Source organism: Homo sapiens, chromosome 15 (assembly GCF_000001405.40).
Source record: "Homo sapiens chromosome 15, GRCh38.p14 Primary Assembly".
NCBI lineage: Eukaryota > Metazoa > Chordata > Mammalia > Primates > Hominidae > Homo > Homo sapiens.
Window position 1 is genome coordinate 52,418,091 of NC_000015.10, and position 20,345 is coordinate 52,438,435.

Consider the following 20,345-nt stretch of genomic DNA (forward strand, 5'->3'; position numbering starts at 1 on the left):
CAGGCAAAAGGGATAGCATAAATGAAGGCTCAGAATCAGAAGTTTGGAAAGAGCAGATAACTCAGCTTAGCTGGAAAATGGAGTAATGACAGATTTATGATTTCTGGTTTGGCCAGTCCTTTCAAGGGCCTCCACAATAATCCTAAATAGGCTGGGTACTGGGTGCTTTGGAGTGGAGGTGAGCTCTTCTGACCTGTTTCCAGAAGGTCTAATGTGAACTAAAAGCCCTCTTAAAAATACTGCTTCATTCGTTCATTTAACAAACACATAATAAGCAGCTACAATGTGCTAATCACTTTATGGAAATAAAAGACTCTAGGGTCATAGTCAATTGAGAGAGACTAGAAAGGACACAATTAAAATGCAGTTGGAAGTAACTGCTATAAAAAAGGTCTATCTAAGATACTATGAAAGTAGAAAGGAAGGGTATGGAACCAGTAGGAGATGTGAGGAGGAGATGTCAGGAAAGCCTTTCCAGAGAAGGTAATACCAGAATTGAGAGGGTAATACCAGAATTGACTCATATATATGATCATTAGGAGAAAACCAGGTTCTGTGAGAATAAGGAAATGGAGTTAAATTATGTAGAAGCACTCGAAACCCCAGGAAACAATTATTCAAGGATGAGCAAGAGAGAGATAGAGAAAGAGAGAAAGAGAGAGAGACAGAGAGAGAGAGAGCCGGGGTGGGGGAGGGTGTCTGTTAGCCTTTATTTTCCTCTTATGGTCATCAGTGACCTTATATCTATTTGGTCTGTCGGGTCTTTCCTTATAGTTTTCATTTTGTATGAAATGTATTATTTTATAGATTTTCCTTTCGAATTTTACCCTTTAAAATATGTAATCTCTCTAGTTTATCATGGTCATACCAAACACTATTCATATCTTCCAAGATCATCAACTTGTCCTCTGTAAACTTAATAAACATACTTTCAATTACATCTACGTCATCAACAAGGAAATTAAGCAATGCTTGCCTCAAACCTGAGTAATGTATAACACGATTTAATATCCCCATCTATGTTGATGTTAACTCTCTGATAACCACCCATTGAGTGTTGTCATGTACCTTGATGAAGTGTACATGCACCTGCACCTAGGTCTAACTTTTTAGCTTATAAACAAACATGGCCATGTGAAACAAAATCTAGAGCTTTACTTTTTTGCAGGCAACCAATCTAATTGTTTCTCCCTTTATCCGATCCCTTGTTAAAAAGAGAAAATATTAAGTTAGTGTAATAAAATGCTTTCTTTCAAAACTGTGTTTTTACCGTGGTGTCTTAAAGATGTGGCTTCACTGAGACTTTAATCTCTCTCTTGTTAGAGAGATGCTAAGTTTTTCTACATCATCACTCATCAAAATCAAGCTGCTCTGCTCTCTGTGTCTCTCTGATTCCTACTTTTAATTAGTCTCAATAAGAAAATGCTTAAACCCTAAAGTTAATACTAGACAATGAGTTTACAATTATAATATTAATTTTATTTTTGAAGCATAAATATTTACTATAAAAATGGTTGCTGGCACTGTTGAACGCTTTAGAGAGGCAGACAGACTTCTCAGGAAATGAAAACAAGTGTTTCCTAGAGATACTTGCTGAGGTCACTCAGTTCCTGGTGAGAAGCCTGTCACATGGCTATCAGATCCTCTCAAATCAACCTGAGTTTTCTGTTCCATCAGTACAGAGCCTATGCATTATATAAAGATGCTAGAGCAGAAATAGCCAACTATATTTGTTTATAACTTTTACATACTCTAGTTCTCTAATATATACTGTATTTTATTCCTGCTGCAACCTTCTGGGGTAGATAATATTCAGTAAGTCCCAAACTAGCAGTTTAATGTTATGGTTTGAATGTGTTCCTCAAAGTTCATATGTTGCAAACTGAATCCTCAATACAACAGCGTTGAGAGGTGAGACTTTAAAATGTGACTAGGCCAGGCATGGTGGCTCACGCCTGTAATCCCAGCACTTTGGGAAGGTGAGGCAGGAGGATCACTTGAGCTTAGGAATTTGAGACCAGCCTGGGCAACATAGTGAGATTCCATCTCTACAAGAAAGAAAAAATTAGCTGGGCATCACTGCATATGCCTGTAGTCCTAACTACTTGGGAGGCTGAGGTGGGAGGATCACTTGAGCCTGGGAGGTTGAGGCTGTAGTGAACCATGACTGTGCCACTACACCCTTGCCTGGGTGACATAGTGAGACCCTGTATTACAAAAAAAAAAAAAAAAGGTGACTAGGTCGTGAGGGCTCTGCCCTCATGGATGGATTTATGCAGTCATAATGGAAGTGGGTTAGTTACTGCAGTAATGGCATCCTGATGAAAGAATGAGCTTGGCCCCCTTCCTGTCTCTGTCTTACATGCTCTCTTCCCTTCCACCTTCCACCATAAGATGACGTAGCAAGAAGACCCTCAACTAGATGTAGCCTATCAACCTTGCTCTTTCTTGCATCCACAACAATGAGCCAAATAAATTTCTGTTCATTATAAATTACCCAGTCTGGTATTCTTATATACCAGTATAAAACAGACTAAGATACTCATATAATGGAGAATTCTAAAGAGAAATCATTTACTGTGAGCTGGGGTCATCTGAAAGTAAAATCTGAGTGGGATAATGAAGTATAAATATAAATCAGACAGATAAAAAAGCATGGAGCAAGATATTCTAGGCTAAATAAAAGATGTAGAAATAGAATTATGCCATCTTAACGTGAGGGAATAGATCTGTTAGAATAGGGCCAGGTAGTTGAAAGTAAGAAAACTAAATGACAAAGAAGAAAGGCTTCAGAGTCTCAAAGCTGGATTCAAATCTCAGCTCTTAGATACCATTTATTAGCATATGGCCTGGACAAGCTACTTTCCTCACCTGTAAAGCAGTGGTGATCTGCTCCAGGGATATAATGAGGATTACATGCCTGGCACCATGTTTGGTACACAGTAGACCTCAAATATGGTAGATATTTATTAATTTAAGTTAACCCACCTTTATATAACATATATAAAATTATCCTTATGAGGAACCATGTATTACTTAAAGCCTATTTGCATAAATAGGATACTTAGCATCACAGGGCAGCTGAGTTTCAGCTGAAACAGAAGAGATTTTGTCATCTCTAATAGTTTGCAGTTAGCCAGTGAACCGCTGGACCGTGGCACACCCTGAGACCACATAACCAAATGACGGAAGGGGCCACCCTAAGGAAGGGCCTGGTAATAAATTAATTCAGAAATAATAAAACCAGATGAGAGGCTCAAGTCAATGAAAAGAGAAATGTAGACATAAGGCCACATAATGATGATGACTATGATGATAAGAACAGCTTATATTGGAATAGAACTTAGTATTTTTCGAAGTGTTTTTGTGTGTATCACCTAATACAATTTTCACCTCCAAAGTAAGCAGGAGAGACATTATATTCTACTCTTTGGAGGAAATAGTAACACCAAGAGGTTAAAAGGCTTGTCCAAGCCTGATGACTGGCATAGAGTAGAGCTGGGTTGTTACACCCCACATCTCTTGATTTCCAGGGGAAAGTCTACACAATGCTTCTTCTGCTTTGTTACACAGCTCCCTACCATGGTCTCCCCTCAATTAAAATGTTTATGCATTAGTTCCCATCAAACATAAAGATAACAAATGCATACCACAGAAACCTGTACATGTAAAGCTAGATCATCAGTGACACTGTTCCGTTTTATAGATGATAAAACGGAGACTCAGGGAGACCAGGAGATTTGAGCTTATATGATTAGTTATTGGTAGATACGTGACTAGTACAGATGTCTTTTTCACTAGACCAAAGTTAATTGCATATAACTTATTTCAAGCAAATTTAAATAAATGAAACTTAGTCAATAAAACTGATTATCACTCACAGTGGAGAGAAAATATAGCAAATTAAAGCCATCAACACTACCTGGTTTTAAGGAAACAACACAAAACAAAACAAAAATCCTAGTTACAGCATGAGAAAAGACTGGCAAGAATGTCAAACAAGAATAAAATAAAAAAATAGGCATGGCAGTCCACTGAGTGTTTCTCCATGGTAAGTCAACAAGGACAATTAAAATTAAAAGGCTATTCTAGGAAGGTATTTTATGAGGGCATTGTACTCTCTAAGGAGCATGTTTAAAAAGAAGCCATGAGTCAAGGATCCAGCTCAAGGATCCTGGTTATTGCTGATGTCACTGGACATAGATCTGCTTGGAAAGAATTCCTAGTATGAGTTTTGCTTTTAGGATAGATGTCAAAAACATCTTTTCAACCTTAAAGATCTAAATTAGAACTCTGCTCCCTTCCCCCTACTCCCCACCCTACAACACACACAACCTGCTCTTCCTGCCATCTTCTACATCTCAATAAACAGCAACTCCAACCTTCTAGGTGCTCAGTCCAAATCCTTACTGCCATCCTTAACTCCTCTTTTTCTCAAATACCCCATATAAGCAAGGCTTTGCCAGTTCTGTCTTAAAAATATACCCAGAATCCATCTACTTTTTACCACCTCCACTAATTAAATGATCATCTTTTCCATGGATCAAGGCAATAACCTCCCAACTAGTCTCCTGGCCTCTACCCTTGCTCCAGCACAGTATGTTCTTCTAATTTTTTTGTAACTTTACTTTTTTGTTGTTTTTGTAGATAGGGTCTTGCTCTGTCACCCAGGCAGGAATGCAGTGGCACCATCTTGGCCCACTGCAGCCTTCAACTCCTGGGCTCAAGCGATCCTCCCACCTCTGACTCCTGAGTAGCTGGGACTAAAGGCACAGGCCACCATGCCTGGCTAGTTTTTGTATTTTGTTTGTAAAGGCAGGGTCTCACTATGTTGCCCAGGCTGGAGTGTGGTAGCACAATCGTAGATCACTGTAATCCTGAACTCCGAGGCTTAAGTGATCGGCCTACAGACGTGCGCCACCATGCCCAGCTAATAGTTTTATTGTTAATCATGCCTGACTTCGTGGGGTAGGAATTCCTGTCTATTTAATTTGTATCCCCCATGCCCAGAACAGTGTCTGGCGTTTGGACGGTGTTCAATAAATCTCTATTACATGAATGATGAATTGTACCTTCCCTGAAGACATGAGGGATCCCTAGAAATGGTGATAATGTGAAACACCAGGATTTGCATCTAGAAAGATGACATCTTTGTTTGACAAGAAAACAATGGTAAGGCTGGCTGGGCGTGGTGGCTCATGCCTGTAATCCCAGCACTTTGGGAGGCCGAGGTGGGCGGATCACGAGGTCAGGAGATAGAGACCAACCTGGCTAACACAGTGAAACCCCGTCTCCACTAAAAATACAAAAAATTAGCTGGGCGTGGTGGCAGGTGCCTGTAGTCCCAGCTACTCGGGAGGCTGAGGCAGGAGAATGGCGTGAACCCGGGAGGCGGAGGTTGCAGTGAGCTGAGATTGCGCCACTGCACTCCAGCTTGGGTGACAGGGCAAGACTCCGTCTTAAAAAAAAAAAAAAAGAAAACAATGGCAAGAAATGATCCTGCAGCAGTTATTTCTGACTGTAAGCCTGAATAGATACACTCTATTTTACTGCTGTGGCAGATGTTATGGGTATAGATTTATTTATATAAATGGTAAATATAATACCATAACTAATTGAGGCATATTTTAAAGCTGTCTGAAAAAGAAAACCAAGCCAAAGGAAAAAAGACAAAACAACCCTTCAGTTAAGAAATTACCTTGAGTGACTGAGTCACAACAGATAATAATGAGAAGAGAAAATTACAGGAAACCAAGGTAAATCTAAAGGTAAAAAGCCATAAATATTCATATAAACCTAATACTATCTGTGAAAGACCAGTAACAAAGATGGTAAGAGCTATGCTTTTGTATTTAAGAATACTGTTTTCCAAAGAGTCATATAATTCTCTGAGCACTATATAATTTTCAGAGATTATTTTTAGAGTCTAGCCACCCATGTGATTTTTTCTCTGCCCAGTAGTTCTCAGGTTGTACTAAGTGGTGTCGAAACTGTACTGCAATGCTCTGATACTATACAAATCAACTACTGGTAGATTTTTCCAACTTAAGGGAAAAAAATCATACCAATAGATGGAATTTTCTCAATTTTAAGCTTAAAAAATAACTTTTCTTAAGCTTTGAACACTAATTACTATTTTATAGCAGAAGCTGGCATAATATGACATGCTTTGTAGTGCTAACCTATGTTTAGTCATTTTATATTTAATACATTAATATTTCATAATGTCAGACTAATTGAATTTGAAAACTGGTCTTCCTAGTTACGTGACCTTAGAAAAGTTACACAACTTCTCTGTGCTTCATTTTTCTCATTTGTAAAATGAAAATTAATAATACCAAACTCAGAAAGTTGCTATAAGAATAAAATTAGTTAAAAATGGAAAGCAATTAAATAATGCCCTTCACAGAGCACATAATGTTAGCTGCTATTAGAAGTATCCATATTAATATTATTTTATTATTAAAAGGGCATAATGATTTCTAGGGTTTTGTCCCTGAAATAATTCTAAAATTCTGTCACATGCTGGACCAATCATGTATACTCTCCCTGGCTGGAGAGGACAAAATAAAAACCTCTGCAGTATTAGTTTTCTTTCCACCTTATAAATTACTCGTGGGTTTCCCATATTATATTTATAATGTGTTCTGCTTTGTAGGCTGGAGAAATGAATTAAACTTAAACTATTCTTCTACACATTCACAGTTTTATATTTTATTATATTACTAAGAGCATAATCTAGTCCTGAAAGTAACATTTTTCTCCCATTTTCCACCCTCAAAATGTTAGGGTTCCATGGTTAATATAAGAGACATTTTGCAGATGCTGTTCAGGATAACTGATGCCCTATCATATAATACTAATGTTAAAATTCACACTTTCAGTTGGGCATGGTAGTGTATGCCTGCAGTACCAACTACTCAGGAGGCTGAAGAAGGAGGATCACTTGAGCCCAGGAGTTCAAGCCCAGCCTGGGCAACATAGCAAGACCCCATCTTGAAAGAAAAAAATTTCACACTTTCCTTTAGATTTAATTCCCTAGGATTCAGAAAGATTTTTTTTACAGCTCCTAGGCTTTTTAGTTCTAGTCTATTACTCATTCGCTGACTGACATTGGGTAGGTCATTTAATACCACTACACTAATCCTTTCATCTGTAAAACATAACATCTGCATCTGTCTTTTCCTAGTCACAGGATCATGATGAAATTTCAAAGGCAGTTTTTAAAAACTCTATGTCCCTTTATAAATGTGAGGGGTTTGTTTGTTTGTTTGTTTGTTTGTTTTTGAGACAGAGTCCTGCTCTGTGGCCCAGGTTGGAGTGCAGTGGCACAATCTCGGCTCACTGCAACCTCTGTCTCCCAGGTTCAAGCAATTCTCCTGTCTCAGCCTCCCAAGTAGCTGGGATTACAAGTGCGTGCCTCCACACCCGGCTAATTTTTGCATTTTTAGTAGAGGCGGGGTTTCGCCATGTTGGCCAGGCTAGTCTCGAACTCCTGACCTCAGGTAATTCGCCCACCTTGGCCTCCCAAAGTGCTGGGAATACAGACATGAGCCACTGCACCTGGCCCACTTTATTATTTAATAATAATCCAAGTCACCTGAGACAAACTTGTCAAGGCTGCTTATTTAGTAATTATTTACAAGGTTGCCATTCACTTTAAAATATATGTGACTTAGCAAGAAGAAATTATCATATCTAATAACTGCCATAAAATAACAATGAAAGCTTCTACCAACCTGGCCATTTGCTTGTAAGCTTCTTCAGCTACTGCAAAGATATGTGGATCCATATCACCCATGTTCTGACCACTGTATGCATTAATAATATCTTCTCCATAAATAGGCAGCTGTTCATAGGGATTTATAGCTACTAGGACTATACCTGGGAATAGGGTAGGGGACAAGAAAGAAAAAGAAGTCAATGATACCCTAATGGGCATATCAAACTTAGTAAAGTGAGACTCACAGTTAACACAATCCTTCATTTCAATTTAGTTAATATTAAACCAATAAATTGTTCAAGGATCAAAATGTATCATAGCCTTCGCCTCTGAACCCATTATACATAGTTCTGCCTAAAACACCATTTAAAAACTGGACTAGGTGGCTTAAAATAATGTGGCAATGTTATAAGAACTTTAAATATCTTCATATATTTAATCCAAAAATTCCACTTTACTTCTACAATTTATCCAAATGAAATAATCAGAAATTCATGCAAAGAGTTTTTTTTTTTTTTTTCACAAAGATGTTTATCATAATGTTATCTGTAACAGTGAAAATGGAAACAAAATATATAGGGCAAGGAGACTAGTTGAATGCATTCTGTTACATCCATATGATAGACTACTAAGCCACTACCACCAATCATGTTTGTTTGTTTAATTTGAGATAGGGTCTCACCCTGTCACCCAAGCTGGAGTGCAATGTTACTATCTTGGCTCACTACAGCCTAGACCTCCCAGGCTTACGAAATCCTCCCACTTCAGCCTCCCAGGTAGCTGGGACTATGGACACGCAACACCATGCCTGGCTAATTTTTGTATTTTTTTTGTAGAGACAGGATTTTGCCATGTTGCCCAGGCTTGAACTCCTGGGCTCAAGTGATCTGCCCACCTCAGCCTCCCAAGGTGCTGGGATTACAGGGTAAGCCACAGCACAGGTGAGTTACATATAATTGTTTTTCCTTTTTTATACTTTTCTGTATTTCCTAAGAATTTTTCTGTAGGTGTATATTAACTTAATGAAGTCGTCCATTCAATAAATCTCAGATTAAATTGTAATAAGGAAAAGAAGGCAAAAAATAATGCAGGGAAGAAAGACAGTAAGGAGGGGTTTCTGACTTGATAGGGTGGCCAGACAAGACTTCACTGAGAAGGTCCAAATCATGTTTTTGAAGGATATTAAATGTCATAGGAAAACATAATACAAAACTATATATAGACTGATTCCAATTTTCTATCAACTTATGCATACAAAGAGAAAGGATGTAAATCAATATTAATACTGGCTATTTTTCAGTGGTGAGTTACATATAATTGTTTTTCCTTTTTTTATACTTTTCTGTATTTCCTAAGAATTTTTCTGTAGGTGTATATTAACTTAATGAAGTCGTCCATTCAATAAATGTTTATTCAGCTCCAACTATGTGTAAAGTCATTTCTAAATGCTGAACTTACAACAGTAAACAAACAAACAAACAAAAAAGACTAATCTTTACCCTCATGGAACTTAAACTCTAGTGGGAAATTCAGACAATTAACAAGATAAGTAAGAAAATATATATATACATAATCTCAGATTAAATTGTAATAAGGAAAAGAAGGCAAAAAATAATGCAGGGAAGAAACACAGTAAGGAGGGGTTTCTGACTTGATAGGGTGGCTAGACAAGACTTCACTGAGAAGGTAACACATGTGCAAGGAAAAAAAATGGAAGAAAAATAACAATTGAGAAACAGAAATAGTTACCAGAAAGGAAAAGTTAGTATCAATGATATAAAGGATGTTAATTATTTTAAGAAGAAAAGGTGGCTGTTCCTGTCTAAAACAGGAGAGTAATGAAGAAATCATGAGCACTGAGTTGGATATACCACACGAATGAATGGAAATCCAGATTTGAGCTTCCGAGGACAGAGTGATTAGTGAAAGAATGGTAAGACGTCAGCGGAGAAAAAATAGCCAGAGAAAAGGGAGAAAATAAAAGATAAGAACAAACTGGGAAAGAGAGAAAAAAGAAGGAAAGCTGGAGAAGGGGGAAAGGAACACAAACACACACACATGCAGAGGCTTTATTTCTTGGAGAGATAAAAAGCACCATGAGCTGGGTGGCTGGCAGCTAACACTGCAATGAGCAGGGGCCCAGGCAAGCAGGAGTGAGCAAGACGAATCACCACGAGTCAAGTTAGTTCTGCATGGCTGAGTAATTGACCACAAGATAACACTAAATCTCTTGAACCTGCTCCAAAGATAAGTCCTTGGACATCTACTCTTCGTGTAGTAGTTTTTGGAAGAGAAGAAAACAACTGGTGAATTTGGCACTAAATCTGACATATGACTTCTGTAAGGGGAAAAAAATTCCAAAAGATGGGCCCAGTCTTTTTATTTTTAGCAAAATTATGTAAGGTCACAAATGAGTTTATTCAGCATAAATGCAACTTGGTAAATCTTTCTGATAACGCTCAAGTGATTTTGTCTCTTAGAGAAAATCCAACCACAGCCTGCTTTCCCCATGTACAATATTTCTATGGCTATGTCCATTAGAGGAAAGAGTCCACAGTCTATTCGGAAAGCAAAGCATACTTACCACAATACGTATAAATAAGTTTGGAATCAATAAAGCGGACTCTGAGATTATGGAGCACAGCAGGCTCATGAAGATAGCTGAGGGCTGTGAGGTCATTTTCACCAACAAGTATGTCAGGATTTCGTAAGTGAGGCAGCTCCTTGGTCTTTGGATCTAGATGGTATTCCAAATCCTGAAAATGCACAAGGCACAGCATCTGGATGAATTATGGCAAGGACTGTGAAAGAGGCCCATGCATTTTGCTTACTTCCTATTCCTGATTTGCTTCTCAGCTATTAAATGCATTATTTTCCTAGCACCTTCCAATATCACAGAAACTGGTGGAGATGGAAACAATATGAAGTGCGTTTTCATTAGACATACCAACCTGTATTAACAATTTTTGCTAATATACTTTGAAAGCCATAGCCTAGACCTTTTTCACCCACGTACTGAATCAGAAGTTTTAAACTTTTAAATATGTTTCTCTCCTCCAACCCCTTTTACCTATAAAAAAGTGGCGGACAATATAAAAGAGTGGTCGAGAGCTTGGCTCTAGGATCAGATTGCCCAGGATTCAAATCCTGATACTAATACTTACTTTTTATGTGGTCTTGAGTTACAGTATTTCACCCAAATCCTTCATTTGTAAAATGGGCTAACAGGGTTGTGGTAAAAAAGTAAATGAGGCAAGTCCGGCATGTGGTAAGTACTTAGGAATCCTTAAACCACTAGATACCCAAGAATCCCCTGAAATTACGTGCAACAACTCTGTGTGTATGTGCACATATGTGTACTTTTTTTGAGGCAAGACAATTCATAGTTTTCATGAGATTTTTGTTTTGTTTGCTTTTTGTTTTTTTCTGTGCATATGCTTATTCATTCATCAGATTTAGGCCGGACACAGTGGCTCACACCTGTAATCCCAGTACTTTGGGAAGCCAAGGCGGGCGGATTACCTGAGGTCAGGAGTTCGAGACCAGCCTGGCCAACATGGCAAGACTCCGTCTTTATTAAAAATACAAAAATTGGCCAGGCATGGTGGCTCATGCCTGTAATCCCAACACTTTGGGAGGCCGAGGTGGGTGGATCACCTGAGGTCAGGAGTTCGAGACCAGCCTGGCCAACATGGTGAAACCCCATCTCTACTAAAAACTCAAAAATTATCCAGGCGTGGTGGTGGGCACCTGTAATTCCAAATACTCGGGAGGCTGAGCCAGGAGAATCACTTGAACCCTGGAGGCAGAGGTTGCAGTGAGCCAAGATCACGCTACTGAACTCCAGCCTGGGCTACAGAGCGAGACTCCATCTCAAAAAAAAACAAAAAAACAAAACAAAACAAAACAAACGACATTTTAATAGGGTTCCTGGTCCCAAAAGTTAACAAGTACTATTCAGTTAATTTTTAATAGAGATGGGGGTCTCACTATGTTGCCCAGGCTGATCTCGAACTCCTGGCCTCAAGGGATCCTCCTGCATTGGCCTCCCAAATGCTGGGATTACAGGTGTGAGTGACCATTACTAGCCACTATTCACTTTAAAGTCACGGGAATACGGCTTCATGGCACAGCCAACCATGAATATTGTCACTTAACTATATAAAGGGGCAAATAACATAGGACAAGTGAATAGGAATAAAAATTCAATTTAGTTGTAGGGAGGGACAAGGTTTTGTAAAAAGCCAGTTATGGTAATACTAAAAATATATACAGAGGTCAAATATTCAAATCATATTTGAACGAATTATGCTAAAGGAGAGAAAAATTAACAATTTACCACTCAGCATTTCTTGCTGCCTGTTTATCAGAGAATATCACCCTTGCCTGGGGCTGACTGGTCCTTGCATTGGCCCTGTAAATACACAATTGTCTGTTCTGGTATTAGCCAGGAGACTCCAGAATGGCAGAAGGGCAACCCAGAGCTCTTTCCTCAGTCTTCATTACAGGGTGGGGTTGTTTGTGGCTAGTGTGGGGAGAAGCTGAAATTGAAATATTAGAGAAGACACTAATTTGAAAGGTAGAGAAGATCTGTAACATCTTCACAGAAATTTCCTTCTTGGAGTTAGGCTTTAAATGGACATAAACTGCTCCTCTGGAATCACTGGACATCATTAAATAAATATACTCTTCTACTATTACAAAAGCCATGCTTTCTCTATTTTATTCTAGGACCCTAAGTGACTATAGTTTCTAAAAAGAGAATGATTCTTGAATAGTTCAGGAATTTTATAATGTCTGTTCTTCTTGTTTGACCCCTGTCCCTAGTCTTGCTTTTATTAAAGGTATGTATCATTCTATTTCTAGATTTTTAAAAAATACTAAGGATTAATAAAATTAAACATAGACACTGTACTCTGGTTGGCAAATCTGCTTCTTATAATAGGGTATGGATTAGCAATTCTGAAATAACTTTATGTCTATAATGAATAAGTAATATAGCTAATGAAAACCAAAAAGAGAAGTTATAGTACACATAATCAAAGGAAGAATAATAGAATGAACCTGGTGGCATTGGACTGGAGAAAAAAGGATCCCTATTAACTCACGGGTTTTATTTTTTTTAAAAAAAGTCAAGGCTGGGTGCAGTGGCTCATGCCTGTAATCCCAGCACTTTGGGAGGCCGAGGTGGGTGGATCACTTGAGGTTGGGAGTTTGAGACCCGCCTGGCCAACATGGTAAAATCCTGTCTCTACTAAAAACACAAAAATTAGCCAGGCATGGTGGCATGCGCCTGTAATCCCAGCTACTCAGGAAGCTGAGGCACAAGAATCATTTGAACCCGGGAGGTGGAGGCTGCAGTGAGCCGAGATTGCACCACAATACTCCAGCCTGGGTGACAGAGCAAAATTCCGTCTCAAAAAAAAAAAAAAAGTCTAGTGCAGTAGCTGATGCCTTTAATCCCAGCACTTTGGGAGGACGAGGTAAAACGACTTCTTGAGCCCAGCAGTTCAAGACTAGCCTGGGCAACATAGCAAGACAACCATCTCTAAAAACACATTATATATATAAAATACATACATACAAACACATACATACATATGTAAACATAGACATAAAGTAAGTATAGATGGTTGAGTATACATTAGTATAGTATGCATACATATTAGTATCTATCTATCCATCCATGTATATATTTTTCTAGCTCTCTATGCTAAGAGGGCTGAGAAGTGGTGTCATCTCAATAGCAATGAGCACACCTAGTGCTCAGATCTTGGCTGTCAAATACTATCCTCCAATATAAGGTAACAGGGCTGGGAAAGGGGAAATACAGGGTAAGTATCTTAGGGTACCAGGAGAAGTGCTATATCTAAAAAAAAAAAAAAAAATAAGCCAGGCACAGTGGCTCATGCCTATAATCCCAGCACTTCAGGAGACCGAGGTGGGAGGACTGCTTGAGCTCAGGAGTTCGAGACTAGCCTGGGCAACATATTGAGACTCCATCTCTACTAAAAAAATTTAAAAATTAGCCAGGCATGGTGGCTCATGCCTGTGGTTCCAGCCACTAGGGAGGGAGGCTGAGCCTGGGAGGCATGATCAAGCCACTGCACTCTAGCCTGGGTGACAAAGTGAGACCCTGCCTCAAAAAAAAATAAAAAAGGATAGGGACCTGTCAAAAAAGTCAAAGGACCCAATCTAAGAGAGATCTCAATGACCAAAGCTGGAACAATTTAATTGATAAAATAAATAATGATAGTAATGAAGAATAAAAGAAATACCCATGAGCCCATAATAAATAAATGATTAAAGTAATAAATAAATGGGAGAGGAGAAACAATACTTCCTTCCCTATAGAAGAATTCTAGTTAATAAGTATAGAAGGAAGGAAAGAAATGGAGAATCACCACTAGAACACAACGATATTTGCTGCAGGCAAGACACAGTAATGAACACTGGGCAAATATTAGCAGGAAAAGTTTAAGGAGAAGCAGGATATATGAGTGGCCTCAAAGCATCTGCCCCAACACAATGACATTCATTAATTACAAAGGGAAAACAGTAACTTTACAGTGGATAACATGGCAGACATCACCTTAAGCAACTGGTCATGGCCAGCAATCTGCAAAAATCCAATATAGTCAAATAGTATAAGCACTCATCTTAGAGTCATCTGTGTTCAAATCTCACTTCAAATTCCAAAAGCCACTTCCTGGCTGTGTGACCTTGAGCAAAACTACTTAATGACTTTGAAGTTTGGCTTTCTTATTTGGAAAATAGTGATTATATCACCTGCCAACCCATAGGGTTGGTGTGAAATTTAACGTGAGAAAATTCACTCCAAAGTGCCGAACATTTTGCCTAACAAAGCAGATGACCAATAAATGTTAAATAAGTTAATTCCCTAGTTTGGTATTAAAAGCCCTCCTAATTGGCCTAATTCTTCCCCGCCTTCCTCCCAACTAGTATCTTCCCCTCAGTTTTGCTCTCCATGCTGCCACCAATGAGTCTCCTCTAAGACCTGGCACCATGCCTCTTTTTAAAAACACTACAAGCACTCCCCATAGCACACCAGTTAAATGCAAGAGTTTTAGGATTAGATGTGAATCTAAACCTGATAATCATAATAAATTCACAGGCCAAAATAGAAGCTTTTTAAAGTATCTGCTATTTTCACTAATCTATGCCATTAAAAACACTATCAGGATAGAAAACTGAGTTTGCCATTTTTACCAATTTAGTAAGTAAAAATTCTAGGTAAGTTCAAAATTTAACTTCCATTGGGAGTTTACTTCACAGTAAATTTACACTTTTGAACTCCCTTCACTTTATGCCAATGACAACAAATGAAAGTGAGATCTCACCTTTCCTTCCTCGAGGTGAAGCAGGAGGACTTTATCTCCTGGCTTATAATCTTTGAGCAGCTCTGCTGACTTCCAGACTTCCTCTGGATCAGGTATCCAAACCCTGGCAAACTAGAAGACAAAAAGAAAAAAATTTAAACTAGCAAATCAATTATTTTACAATCATATATAAACATATGATAACTATTTATAATTAAACAATTTATGAAAAAAGAAATCTTGGCCAACATGAAATTCACTTTTTTTTTTTTTTTTTTTTTTTTGAGACAGAGTTAAGCTCTTGTTGCCCAGGCTGGAGTACAGTGGCATGATCTCAGCTCACAGCAACCTCTGCCTCCTGGGTTCAAGCAATTCTCCTGCCTCAGCCTCCTGAGTAGCTGGAATTACAGGCGCCTGCCACCACACTCAGCTAATTTTTTTGTTTTTAATAAAGATGGAGTTTCGCCATATTGGCCAAGCTGGTCTCCAAACTCCTGACCTCAGGTGATCCACCCGCCTCAGCCTCCCAAAGTGCTGGGATTACAGGTGTGAGCCACCACGTCCAGCTGAAATTTACTTTTTAAATTAGTAAACAAAAAATATTTTAGCTCTCATAGCACCACCATTCCCAAATTATATAAAAAGTGTGCTCTGAAAAAACAGTTATGATCAAAGCTTGACTTTGCTTTACACAGTAAATGCCACCTGAAAGTATAATTTTAGGTTAAAATGTACACATAAGATCTATTTTTGAAGCTATGGTGTTGTGGTTCTGCCAGTTTCAACAGCACTGCCATCTTTTTATGGCTGGGTTTACAATTTGGATTTTTTTGTTCTTTCTTTTTCTTTTTTTTTTTTTTTTTTGAGATACAGTCTCGCTCTGTTGCCCAGGCTGGAGTGCAGTGGCACGATTTCGGCTCACTGCCACCTCTGCCTCCCGGGTTCAAGTGATTCTCCTGCCTCAGCCTCACGAGTAGCTGGGACTACAGGCATGTGCCACTGTGCCCAGCTAATTTTTGTATTTTTAGTAGAGACGGGGTTTCACCATGTTGGCCAGGCTGGTCTCGAACCCCTGACCTCGTGACCCACCTGCCTCAGCCTCCCAAAGTGCTGGGATTACAGTCATGAGCCACCGTGCCCGGCCCACAATTTGGATTTTTTTATGGTGGTTTGCATCCTGTGCTCTGCAAAGCCTTAGTGATTTCTCAGACATCCTTCAGGAGCCATCACAGTAGGGAGAAGAGGAGAATAAAAATAACAGATTTTTTAAAACTGAAGAAACACGGTTGTTCAGCATTTTGCCTTCATTATTTTATAAAGATGAGTGGGAAATGGTAAAAATGGCACAGCCAGTCACTAATAAGCTTAGCTCCTGTAGCCTCAACATCATGAAAAAGGCATGGTAATCATCAGGGATTCCCAAAGCAGCAAATATTTTGCCTCAACTAGATACTCCCTGGACATAAGCCAGAAGATTATGTGGTCAATTTTGAAGAAAAAGAACAAAATATACTAACATGCACAAATCTTTCGAATACCACATTGAAGAAGTGTTTTTATGTGCTTGGACTCTCTGGGAAGAAATTTCCCTTTAAAACACACATACACTAAACCTAAATGCCCATTTTCATGAACAAATCACATATGAAAACAGGAATCCTAGATTCAGCCAGCAAGGGAAAGACATGACACAATCAATCATGGCTGGCATGGGCCAGACTGAACCCGGTCTCTGGCCTGTATCTGTATCCTCATTTCATGTAAATTCACCTCTAGATTTCATTTTTAACAATAATCAGGGTACTAATTTACTTGGAGCTTTGAGAAGGAGCATTTGGATTTGAGTATGTTAAATATGGGGCAACTTCCCAAAGAACTGTGATAATGTAATGACTATTCTAAGTACTGGGCACAAAGTTCTGGAAGCTTGTAACAAGGTCATTCCCAAGTACAAGAGAAATTTATATGACCCAGTGATGAACTTACAGATAGGAGAAAGCGAAAAGAAAGTGGGTGAACGAAAGTACAGGTAGATCTGAGATTCAAGATAATTTAAATTAAGAAAAACATTTCAGCATGCCATGCCACTGTCCTGGATATTACGTTAACCTCTTTTTTTTTTTTTTTTTTTTTGAGACGGAGTCTCACTCTGTCACTCTGTCACCCAGGCTGGAGTGCAGTGGCACGATCTCGGCTCACTGCAACCTCCGCCTCCTGGGTTCAAGTGATTCTCCTGCCTCGGCCTCCCGAGCAGCTGGGACTATAGGCACATGCCACCACACCCAGCTAATTTTTTTCTATTTTTAGTAGAGACAGGGTTTCACCGTGTTAGCCAGGATGGTCTCGATCTCCTGACCTCATGATCCACCCGCCTTGGCCTCTCAAGGTGCTGGGATTACAGGCATGAGCCACCATGCCCAGCCTATGTTAACCTCTTTACTGACAAATATTTTCAAGCCTTCCTATTGGGAAGCTGCTGTGGTATATTGCCATAGTTTCCAAACTACTAGATTTCATGGCTGGTAAAATTTTTTACTTAAAGTTTGGGGACTGATATAAGGTTATTAACTAACTTTTAGTCTTGACAAGTAAGATTATAAAACCATTAATTATTGGCAGCACTTACAGACAAGTAGAGGCTAAAGCCCTCACACTCAGCAGAGGCAACATAAATACCAATTTACTGTCTAATATCACCATCGTTTTACAAAATAAAGGACATTTTAACAAGAAAACAGTAGGACAAATAGCCATCACAGTTTTTTTGTTTTCTGTTTTTCTGACACAGAGTTTTCCTCTTGTTGCCCAGGTTGGAGTGCAATGGCATGATCTCGGCTCATTGCAGCCTCCGCTTCTGGGGTTCAAGCGATTCTCCTGCCTCAGCCTCCCAAGTAGCTGGGATTACAGGTGCCTGCCACCACACCTGGCTACTTTTTTGTTGTTGTTGTATTTTTAGTAGAGACAGGGTTTCGCCATGTTGGCCAGGCTGGTCTCAAACTCCTAGCCTCAGAGAGTGATCCTCCCACCTTGGCCTCCCAAAGTGCTGGGATTACGGCGTGAGCCACCACACCTGGCCTGGCCATCATAGTTAACATACAAATCCCTTACCATGTTCTACAAGGGCCTTCATGACCTGTCCTTTCCTTCCCCTGCCAACCTCTAAGCCGGCACTATGCAGATCTTATTTTAGTTCTTCAGGAACACAGTTTTGTTTGCTCCTGTCTCTAGACCCTGGCTCTTGTTAAGCCCTCTATAATGTACTTCTCCCAGATCTGCTTATGTCTGCCTCCTTCTCACTTATATGATAGCTCAAATGTAAACCTCTTCAGAGAGGCCTTCCCAGACCTTTCTAGCGGAAATCAATCCAAACTACTATTACCATTCTCTATTTTACATTCTTCAGCACTCTTATTCACTATCTGAAATCACCTGCTGTTATGTTCTTGTTTGTTTACTTATTTACTATCTCTCTTCCTTCATTAGAACATAAGTTCTGTGTCTGTGTTGTTCAACACAGCAGGCAGTACTTAGAACAGTACCTGACACAGAGCTGGTGCTTAGTAAGAACTTATCGAAAGAAGATCAGAATAAAAGGCATCTCTTTAAATTGAATATAAGTAGCATGATTAAAAGCTCGCTCAATTGCTTTAATTTTCTCTTATTATTACCAACACATACAAACTTTTAATCTAAACAGTTTGCAGAGGAAAGAGTATGGAATTAGACTATGGGTTCTACTCCCAGGGCCACCAGATGGGCCTTGGCCTTTATTTCAGGCAACAATAAAATGAGGATGACAACAATAGTCTTCTAGTTTATTGCAAAGGCTTACGCACATAGAAACTTCATGAAAAGTATAAACCAATATATAAGTACAAGGTGGGGTTGTTACTGTTTTTCCCATAGGAAGTGATTTCTAATGTCATATATCAAACATGTTACTGAAATTTGTTTTACAACTTTTTTCCCAGGGACACAGTCCATAAACTGAGTAATATCTGTACATATCACTAAAGCCTTACTCATGTAATAAATATTTCTATGTACTAACTGCTCCCACTCTGAAGCTTACTTTACAAAGACAGCACTTTTGTAGCTTTCTCTGGAAGGCACTACTGGTTCCAGAAAAGATATATAAATATAAAGAGATTAAGAGTCGGGCTGGGCACAGTGGCTCATGCCTGTAATCCCAGCTCTTTGGGAGGCTTAGGCAGGCGGATCACTTGAGCTCAGGAGTTAGAGACCAGCCTGACCAACATGGTGAAACCCCGCCTCTACTAAAAATACAAAAATTAGCCAGGCATGGTGGTTCGTGCCTGTAACCCCAGCTACTCAGGAGGCTGAGGTGGGAGGATTACTTGAGCCCAGGAGGTGGAGGTTGCAGTGAGCTAAGATCAAGTCACTGCACTCCAGCCTGGGCAACAGAGCAAGACTCCATCTCAAAAAAAAAAAAAAAAAAAAAAGAGAGAGAGATATTCAGAATCATGAAATGACCTATCACCTTGACTGATGAAAACACAAAAAAGGAAAATGTGTCCAAGTGAGTTTGTAGAAGCATGACTGACCAGTGCCTAAACATGAGGAGACTTTAAATCTAGAAAGTGCCTTCATGTTCTGTGTTAGTAGGGAGCTCCAGCTCAGATTTCCACAAGTATTTTGCAAAAAGTAGATACTTTGCCAAAGACCAGATTTCCAAGGGCTAGATGTTAACAACACTTACAGATAAGCAGTGGGAGGATAAGGCCCTCATATTCACCAAAAGCAAGATATTTAAACACTGAACACCACCCTGATAACCAATTTCCTCTTTATCTTAGCTTTACCTCTGAGGAAAGCATCCAAGGAGAAATAGGTCAGAAACCATTCTATTATTACCATTGCCTTTCTGTGGTTCTTTTCCATCTTAACCAATGAGATCAGTGACTCTGCAGAAACAACTATGCCAGAAGGGGGTCAGTTTGAGGATATATACCTTAGATGCTGAAACAGGGAAATCTCAACCTGATATGCCACTTCCTACTGCTTTCATCACTTCCAACCCTGCCTCCCCCAGGCCGCAAAGCAAATACACATGGCAGGAATAGAACTAAACTTGTCCAGTCACATCCGGTGAGAAGACTGGGGGAAGGCAGGCAAGAAGACAAGGCCACTGGAACGCATGAGGAACCTAGAAATGGGACACAGTGTGAGTCGGGCAGGAATCAGAAACAAGGATAGACACTGCCTACTTAGTCTGCAGAAGGCCCTCCTGGTGAAAAAGAAGCAGTTAGAAAACAATAACC

General features: G+C 39.4%; 1 protein-coding gene across 11 annotated transcripts in view; it reads right to left on the bottom strand.

Moving 5' to 3' along the window:
• MYO5A (myosin VA) overlaps window positions 1–20,345 on the bottom strand; it is a 221,768-nt gene that overhangs the window by 110,808 nt on the left and 90,615 nt on the right. For all 11 annotated transcript variants that reach the window (XM_047432544.1, XM_047432543.1, XM_047432540.1 and 8 more), the window contains 3 exon segments: window positions 15,085–15,195; window positions 10,308–10,479; window positions 7,740–7,884 (listed from right to left, as the gene is read on the bottom strand). In XM_047432544.1, the coding sequence (XP_047288500.1) occupies window positions 7,740–7,884; window positions 10,308–10,479; window positions 15,085–15,195 (428 nt within the window).